The sequence below is a fragment of the Homo sapiens genome, chromosome 2, assembly GCF_000001405.40.
Source record: "Homo sapiens chromosome 2, GRCh38.p14 Primary Assembly".
NCBI lineage: Eukaryota > Metazoa > Chordata > Mammalia > Primates > Hominidae > Homo > Homo sapiens.
The window spans coordinates 106,774,460-106,783,790 of record NC_000002.12 but is presented as its reverse complement, the minus strand read 5'-3'; the positions used below and the strand labels follow the sequence as shown (position 1 = coordinate 106,783,790).

Here is a 9,331-nt window from a genome sequence, read left to right as displayed (position 1 = left end):
AACATTCCTGACCTCTAGAAGCTTATAGTACAGTTGAAATGACAGAACAAATGAACCGTTCAATTAGAGATCATGGAAGGACAAAACTGCAGTGATGGTAAGATTATGGTCCAGTCCTACTCCCCACTAGCAGCATGTCAGCTGGTAAATTGCTGAAACTCCCTTATTCTCTTGTTTTTATTACAGTGAGGGTATATTCATAGCCCCAATCTTTTGGGTTGTGGTGTTTGATGAGTGGACCTGGATAAAGTGCTTGGGAGGCAGCCATCATACAATGCTTGCTCCACAAGTGTGAGACCTGTCTATTCTTTGCTGAGCAGCAACCACAGAAATCTGCCCAGGCCAATACTGTGCCTGAGAGCTCTCTAAGTTAAAAGAGATTCCCAAACAGCACTCACTTCATGCTACTAGAGAAAGAGGTTGTGGTTTTCAAGAGGAACAGCAGCCGTTCATGACTGTGCAGGAACAGCATCCTTACCTTCTTCTTCGGAGCAGGTTTGTAAATGAGCGTCTTATTCCACAGGTGTGGGCTAGTGACATAAGGTCATCCTCTCCAACATCAGTGGCAAAGAGACAACAGTCAACATGATATATGTTTTTTCTCAAAAGAAAGACTCCTAATTCCTTCCCATGAAAACCACATTTTAGTAGCAGCCTAGTTGAATTAAAGGCATCTCATGGCTTAATTTAAAGAGAAAATAAGGTTTGCCACAGTAATTAACCAAAAAAGAGACAAGATGTCTTAGAAGAGAGATTCAAATTATCCCAATGCTGAAGTTAATAGGAATGCTTTTTTGCTTTTCTCCCTAGAGGCTATGTCGATCTGGCAAATTAGTAATGTGCCTCAGCTCATTGGTATTCTATGCCAAGAACTTGTGCTGCAAGATAAAAGAATGTGACTGTAGTAAACCCTACAATAATGACTTTCCCTGAGCTTCTCTAGGGGGTTTCTGGTTTATTCACCCTTCCCTTTCTCAGCCTAGTGATTCCTAAGCACTCATCCGTGAATCCCTATTGTAAAAGAAAAGGTAGATAGTAAGCGTAATTTTCATACCACAGGCAAGAAAGTCAAAGAGTCATAGCCTAAGGAATAGTCATACATAACCAAGAAAACAGCCAGTGTGGGAAGACCCAGGGACACCCAATTGCTACATAGTACCCCCCGCAGCCCAGCCCCATCTCCAGGAAGCCTGACTGCCCTTCCACCAAGCTTTCTTTCCTTCATTTATTCATCCATTCATTTATCATTTGTCAGATATTGAATGGCCATCTATGATGTTTCAGGCACTCTGACACCTATTCGGGGTACAGGCATAAATTAGACAATCATGGTGTGTCTTAGCTGGGGTTAGGTGTTTCCCAGCTTCAGTCTTCTGTAAATCTGTCCACCTCTCTCAGAAGCCCAGTTATAAATTCTATCTTTATTGTTCCTTGAATACTGATGTTTTAGTTAATACGTCCTTTCATTTTTTCTGGATCTACTTAACAGACATTTCAGATATTGAGTATTTTTTCAGATGCTCAAATCCAGTCTCATAGCTTGAAATTCTATCTACATACCAACAACTACCAAACCAATTCTTTACCTTTTGGATTCTAGGGTTTTATATCCAAATGCTTTCTTGACATCTCTACTTGTAAAGACTTGTAGATCTCTACATCTAACAGAGATCTCAAAGTTAACATGTCCAAAATTGAACTCCCCCAATCTTTCCCCACAAAACCTCCCACAGACCTCCATCTTCATAAATACAATCTCCCTTCCTCCATTTGCCCAGAAAAGGAAGAATCAAGTCACCTTTGGCTCCTCTCTCTCACACACTTCCTTATCCAATTCAGTCACAAATGTTGCTAGTCTTCTACCTTTGTAAGATTTTGAACATCACCACTGGTCTAAGCCATCATTCTCTTTTCTGAGAAATATTGAATGATCCTTCTAATTGGCCTTCATGCTTTCTTTCTTGCTTTCCTTCTGTGTAACAACTTGGAAAAAAAAGTTCCAAACCTATCACAGTTAAGCATTAAAAGTGTTTGCTTACATAATAAAGAATGTTGGAAATTTCTCATAATCCAGCAGGTTTTGTATACTATTGCTATATCAACTGGGTGGTTTCTTTCCTGAACTTCAATATGTGGTAGCTCAACAAAGAAAATCACACCATGCTTTGGACTTAAATTCTAGGGAGTCCCATTACCACGTTAATTAACCAGATCTACTGGGCTTCCTCCTTAAATGCTGCGTGGGTCCACCCCTCAAAAGGAGATGGTGCCCAGTAGTGGCTGGGACCCTCTTCCCAGAGTAGAGGCTGCTGCATCCTACCCTGGTCTGTCACTCCTGTGCTCCGGCACCCCCATCTCAGCCATTTGCTTTGTGAATTCCAACTCCTGCTGCTGCTGTAAGCTCCAGATGAACAAGCAGCCTCCCCTGTCTGTTTTCTGGTTCACTGATTCCTCCACTTGACTTTAAATTCTAACCAAATACCTTTTCCTACTTCTTTCCTGGGATTCCTTTGTCCCCTTCCTCTGGGCTGTGTGTCTGAGTGCTGTCATTATCACCTAACTCAGTGGAGGCATTTCAGAAGAAACTTGAGACAAAGCACAAACATCATAATGAAACTATAATGTATGTCTTTATGACTACCATTATCTTCATATAAAGAAGCAATCGTTTTTAAGGGATTAATAAGTGGTGTTGAGAATTTAGGAATGTTAATAAATACATGTGAATCTGCTTTCTGTTAAAATTTACAGCTTATAGGAATAAAGCTTGGTTACTTTATATAAGGACAAAAAAGAACAAGAAAGAAAGAAATCACTGACAAACTTCCCAGGAGACAATTCACAAGATTGATTTTTTTAAACAACATTATTTCTTCAAGTAAAGAGTTGATGTTTAATAAAGTCTTTGATACTTTTTGTAAAATGCACTTCCTTAAATTTTATTACATTCTATTGTTCTTGAGAAAAACTCTCCAAATTAAAAAAAATAGTGATAGATTTCTAACAAAGCATATTTTCCAGATGTGCATTAAGTTACTGCTCATGCATATTTATTCACATTCAGATCAGAGTCTTATTGACAGAGAAACTAGCTTTTTTCATTTCTGCAAGTATCAGAACATTTAAGGTCATTTAGCAAACAAACAACTGATACATGCTGGGAACCACTTTAATATTTAGGAATCAACGACCACCAAACCAGAAATGCCAAAGAATCATGGCCGCCAAAAACTCAGTAGACTACTTCCTGCCATATGGATGGTTGTGACCGCAGTGTGTACTCCCAGGCTGAAATCTACCACTTCTAGTCTATTAGACACAGGGACAGCTCTTGAAGTTCTACTCAGCATAGTGGATAGCAAAGTTCTGAAACAAAAACTATCTCAAGATGTGATAAAATAAATACACATAGGGAGAAGATTCTGGCAAGATGCTGAAATAGGAAGCTCCAGGAATCTGTTTACCCATCCAGACAACAACTGCACTGGCAGAATCTGCCTGATGTAACTATTTTGGAATTCTGGAGTCTATTGAAGGCTTGCAACTTCCAGGGAATGTCTTAGAAGTAAATTTCAGTTAGTTTTGGTCAACTTAGACTCAGCACAGTAGTAACTACCTATTGACCGCCCCAGCCCTGTGGCAGGCAGCTGTGCCCATGACCTGAAGAAGACTGCATACAGCTTGTGGGAGCCAGGGTGGGCAATAAGGACCCAGTCCTCCAAGTATTTGTGCTGTGATTATTAATTGCTGCTTCTCATCACAGAAGTACAGACAAAGAGGCAGGTGGCCATTGCTATTGCCCCACCCTCATTATTGCTAGCCCCTCTCTCGCTGAGGTGACTTCCAGGGTACTTAAAAACCCAGCATTCTTTTTCTTCTCCTTAATTTTTATCTTTTCCCCTTTTGGGAGCCATCCATTAGAGACTGGGACATTCCGAAGTGACTGCATATATGGGGGATATTGGAAGGTGACTATGTATGCCCAGGGAAAGGCACAGGCTCAGAAAGACCTGAGAAGACCTTAAGTTTACCTTAAGGTCAGGTTAGCCTAACCTTAAGCTCAGGCTAACCCTCAGCACTGAGACAGCCTACAACAATTAAAAAAACAAAAACAGTAAGCAACAACAACAACAAAAAAACAAAACCAAAAACAAAAGCCCAGTAAACCCCAGGGAAGGGAGAGAACCTAATTTCCAGTGTTATCAAATCATTAGCTTCAAATGTCCATTTTTAACAAAAAAAATCAAGAGACATACAAAAGAAAAGGAATGTGTGGCCCATTTTAATGGGAAAAAAAGAAGCAGCTCCTGAAAAAGACCTGATGTCAGATCTACTAAACAAAAACAATTATCTTAAAGATACTGAAAGAGCTAACAAAAGATGCAGAAAAAGCCAAGAAAATGACATAAGGACAAAATAGAAATATTTGCAAACATATAGAAAACCTATGAAGAAACAATAAATTTGATGCTAAAAAGTGTTATAACTGAAATAAAAAATTCACTAGAGAGATTCAAAGGCTGATTTGAGAACGAAGAAGAATCAACAAATTTGAAATAGGACAAAGGAAATCATTGAATCTGAGGAACAGAAAGTAAAATGATTGAAGAAAAGTGAACAGAGCTTAAGGGACTTCTGGAACACTGTTGAGCAGAACAACACGTGTGGTGGTAGGCTAAGAAACAGAAGAGAAAACAGGAAAGATAGATTATTAAGAGAATTGATGGCCAAAGTCTTTACAAATTTGATAAAAGACATAAGTAAAAATATTCAAGAAACTCAGTAACTCCAAGTAGGATGAACTCAAAAAGATCCACACTGAGACACAATATAATCAAACTGTCAAAAGCCAAACACAGAGTCTTGAAAGTTGCAATAGAAAAGTGATTCATCACATAAAAAGATCATCAATAAGATTATAGGTTCAAAGATATAGTGCAGATGGGGGAATAAGTTCTAGTGTTTGATAACACAGTGGAATGACTAGTTAACAATATTTTATATTTCATGAAAGCTAGTAAAGAAGATTTAAAATACTCCCAACACAAAGAAATGATAAATGTTCAAGTTGATGTATATCCTAATAAATATCCTGATTTGATCACTGATTGTATATTGAATATACAGCTTACACATTGTATATTCTTGTATCAAAATATCATGTGTATCCCACAAATATGTTTAATTACTGTATATCTCTAGAAACATTTAAAAATAATAAATAGTAAATTATGAGATTAAAAAAAGAGAGTCTCATCATAAATACTGGAGACCAAAAGGCAGTGGGCTGATATATTCAAAGTGCTAAAATAAATAAAAATATCAACCCCAAATTCTATATTTGGTAAAAATTGTCCTTCAAAAGTGAAGGAGAATTACAACATTCCCAGATTAACGAAAGCTAAGGTAATCTGTTACTTCTAGACATACCCTAAGAGAAACACTCAAGGGAGTTCTTCAGGTTGAAATAAAAGGACACTACTCAGTAACTCAAAGCCATATGAAGAAATAAAGATCTCAGTAAAGATGGACAAATAGGCAATTACAAAAGCTAGTACTATTATAACAATGGTTTGTAACAACACTTTGTTTCATACATGATTTAAAAGACTGTTTTTTTAAATTTAAACAACAGCAATTTATTTTCTCACAGGTCTGAAAGCTAGAAGTTCAAGATCAAGTTGTCCATAGGGTTGGTTTCTTCTGAGGGTCGTTTAACTTGGTGTATAGATGACCATCTTCTCTCTTTCTTCACATGATCTTCAGTGTGTGTAAAAGACTATTTAAAAAACAAAATAAGAAATGATTAGTCTAAAAGCTAGAATTACTGTAACTTTGGGTTGTAACCACATTTTGTTTCATACATAATCTAAGAAACTAATTCACTTTTAAAAACAATTGGTTTATGTTGTTGAACATACAAAGTATGCAGATGTAATTATGGTACATTAACGACTGAAAGGGTAGAGGCAGAGATGTAAAGAAGCAGTGTTTTCATATGTTATTGAAGTTAAGCTGGTTTAAATACAAATTAGAGCATTATAACTTTATGATATTAAAGATAATCTCAATAGTAACCACAAAGAAAATAGCTATAGAATACACACAAAAAATAAGAAAGGAATTTAAACATTTCACTATAAAAAATTAAACACAAAAGAGGACAGTAATGCAAGAAAGGAAAGACAGAAAAGCTATAAGCCATGTAGAAAACAAATAGCAAAATGACAAAAGTAAGTCTCTCCTTATCAGTTAGCCTTAAGAAGAAAGGAAATTCCAACACACACTACAGCATGAATGAGCCTTGAGCATATTATGCTCAGTGACATAAACCAGTGAAAAAAAGACAACTACTGCATTATTCCACTTGCATGAGGCAAATAGAGTAGTCAAAATCATAGATACAGAAAGTAGAATGGTGGTTTTAAGGGGCTAGAGGAATGGGGGATGGGGTTATTGTTTAATGGGTACATAATTTTGATTTGGGAAGATGAAGTTCTAGAGATAAATGATGGTGATAGTTATATAACAATCTTTAACTGTACTTAATACTACTGAACTGTACACTTAAAAATGGTTACAGTGGTAAACTTTAAGTTATGTGCATATTACTGCAATAAAAAAATCAGAAAAGAAATGAATCCACTAAATTAATGAAGCATTATGATCTATTTATGGTTGAGGAATTTATCAAATGTCCTCAAAAGGAAGACACAGTGTTTTAGTATTGTTGTTCTTCATGAACATTTGAAGTGATACTATGGTGTCCACAGATATTTCTTTCTACTATTATCAATATCGGAAAGATAATATTGGGTAAGAAGAACTATGATGATGGTCTATGTCTTTATGTTAAGCTTCATACTGAATGCTTAGTCCAGTAGAAATAAAATTGTTTTGGCTTGCTTGAGTGAGGAAAGCCTTTGAATGCTGTGCTTTGCAACAACATGGATGAATCTCAAAATATCATGCTGAGTAAAAGAAGCCTTATCAAAAGAGTACACACAGTAGGATTCCATTTACATGAATTTCAAGAAAGGGCAAAACTAACCTACGGTGGGAAAAAAATCAGAAGAGTGGTTGCTTTTTAAAATTTACAGTGGCTGTAAATTTAACTGAAAAAAGACAGATTGGCCGGACATGGTGGCTCATGTCTGTAATCCCAGCATTTTGAGAGGCCAAGGTGGGTGGATCACTTGAGGTCAGGAGTTTGAGACCAGCCTGGCCAACATGGAGAAACCTCGTCTGTACTAAAAATACAAAAATTAGCCTGGCATGGTGGCACGTGCCTGTAATCCCAGCTACTTGGGAGGCTGAGGCAGGAGAATTGGTAGAACCCAGGAGGCGGAGGTTGCAGTGAGCCTAGATCGTGCCATAGCACTCCAGCCTGAGCAACAGAGCAAGACTCTGTCTCAACAACAAAACAACAATAACAACAAAGAATGTAAAAAGACAGATGGACAGAAACACAAAATGTTTTAATGTTTTACACACATGGGAGTTCACAGAAAAGAAGTGAAACTCAAAGAAGCAGTTAGACTTGGGGCTTACATACCATTTTAATCATTTTAACAAAGGAAAAAAGGTTTGAGCTTCTAGGAGTGATAAATTATGGGAAAGTGACAGGAAATATTAGGTTGGTGCAAAATTTATCGCAGTTTTGTCATTACTTTGGCAGAAACTGCATTACCTTTACACCAACCTATGTGAGAAATTAATGGAAGCTGAATGTTATTTTCCTTTGGTCTGTTTATGTAAACCCGTTGATGCCAACTCTGTCTCTGGTGATGAGTTGCTCTCATCTTTCTTGTATAGGACAGAGAAACACCTCACAAAGGGAAATTTATGCCCTTCTTTTAGGCAAAAAAGGGGAAGAAAGAGAACTCTTCCTGCATCCATTGATTCTCAATTGTCTATGGCTCAAAATAATCCTTAGGCCAAAGTGGCATATTTTGTGGAGGCATACCTTGATCCCCTGCAATATGCACACTACAGTATTTTTGTTTTATTTTAATTTTTTGAGACAGAGTTTCACTCTTGTTGCCCAGGCTGGAATGCAATGGCACAGTCCTGCTACTTCTCAACATCTGCCTCCCGGGTTTCAAGCAATTCTCCTGCCTCAGCCTCCCAAGTAGCTGGGATTATAAGCATCCACCACCATGCCCAGCTAATTTTTGGATTTTTAGTAGAGATGGGGTTTCACCATGTTGGCCAGACTGGTCTCAAACTCCCGACCTCAGATGATCGACCAGCCTTGGCCTCCCGAAGTGCTGGGATTACAAACGTGAGCCACTGCACCCAGCCACACACTATTTAGAAGGATGTATACTGATGTATGGAATTTACTTCAAAATGTATCAAAAATAAGAGGAATTATGAATAAATGGGGGATTTGATAAAGAAATAGATGTGTAATTTTTTTTTTTTTTTTTTGAGATAGGGTCTCACTCTGTTGCCCAGGATGGAGTGCAGTGGCACAATCATGGCCTACTGCAGCCTCGAACTCCTGGGCTCAAAAAGTCCTCCCACCTCAGCCTCCCAAGTAGCTGGAACTACAGGCACATGCCACCATGCCTATTTTTCTTATTTTTTGTATAAATGAGGGCTTTCTATGTTTCCAGGGTTGGTTTCAAACTCCTTGGCTCAAGTGATCCCCTTGCCTCCACCTCCCAAAGTGCTGGGATTACAGGCATGACTCACCACACTTGGCCAATTAAATATATATATATAGAGAGAGAGAGGGAGAGAGAGAGTAAAATGTTAACGATAGAACTAGGTAGTGAGTATATGGGTGCTTATTATAACATTATCTCAACTTTGATGACTGTTTGCAAATTTTCATAAGAAAGTGCTGGAAACTACGCTGTGTTCATTGATAGAGCCTCTACTGTCCAGAAAATGACATCTGGGTGACCCCTTTTGTAAGGCTGCCCCACTTGCAAGACACACAAGCCCATTCCATGGCTTCTTAATGATTTCAATTGTCTCCCTAAGAATTCTGCATTTTTCTGGAGGCTCTCATTGTGCGTACAGGCTTCTGATTTGGACTTTTCTGCTTCTGACAAATTGCCACTCACTACTTAACAATCTGGGGCTTTATAACCCCACTTCACACCAGAGAGAGCTGAACTAGACTCTTACCCTTTATTTTCCTTGAAAGCCTCTGCGCAGATTTTCCTGAAATTCAAGAGGGACAAAGAGGGTTTACATCACTAACTTGAAAACAAAGTAAATGAATATTTGGATTTCCTGCTTTTAACAAGCGTCCTCTGCTCTTTCTGCCAATTCAAGCTCCTATCTCCAGCTCTATGGTTTTCCTCCTTTCTTTTCA

At 37.9% G+C, this 9,331-nt stretch overlaps 1 long non-coding RNA gene across 2 annotated transcripts in view; it reads right to left on the bottom strand.

Moving 5' to 3' along the window:
• Nucleotides 1–427: 427 nt before the first annotated feature.
• LOC102724744 (uncharacterized) overlaps nucleotides 428–9,331 on the bottom strand; it is an 81,680-nt gene continuing 72,776 nt past the window's right edge. For both annotated transcript variants that reach the window (XR_923152.3, XR_923150.3), the window contains exon 3: nucleotides 428–5,779. This is a non-coding gene — a long non-coding RNA (uncharacterized LOC102724744). The remainder of the gene's footprint in view (nucleotides 5,780–9,331) is intronic.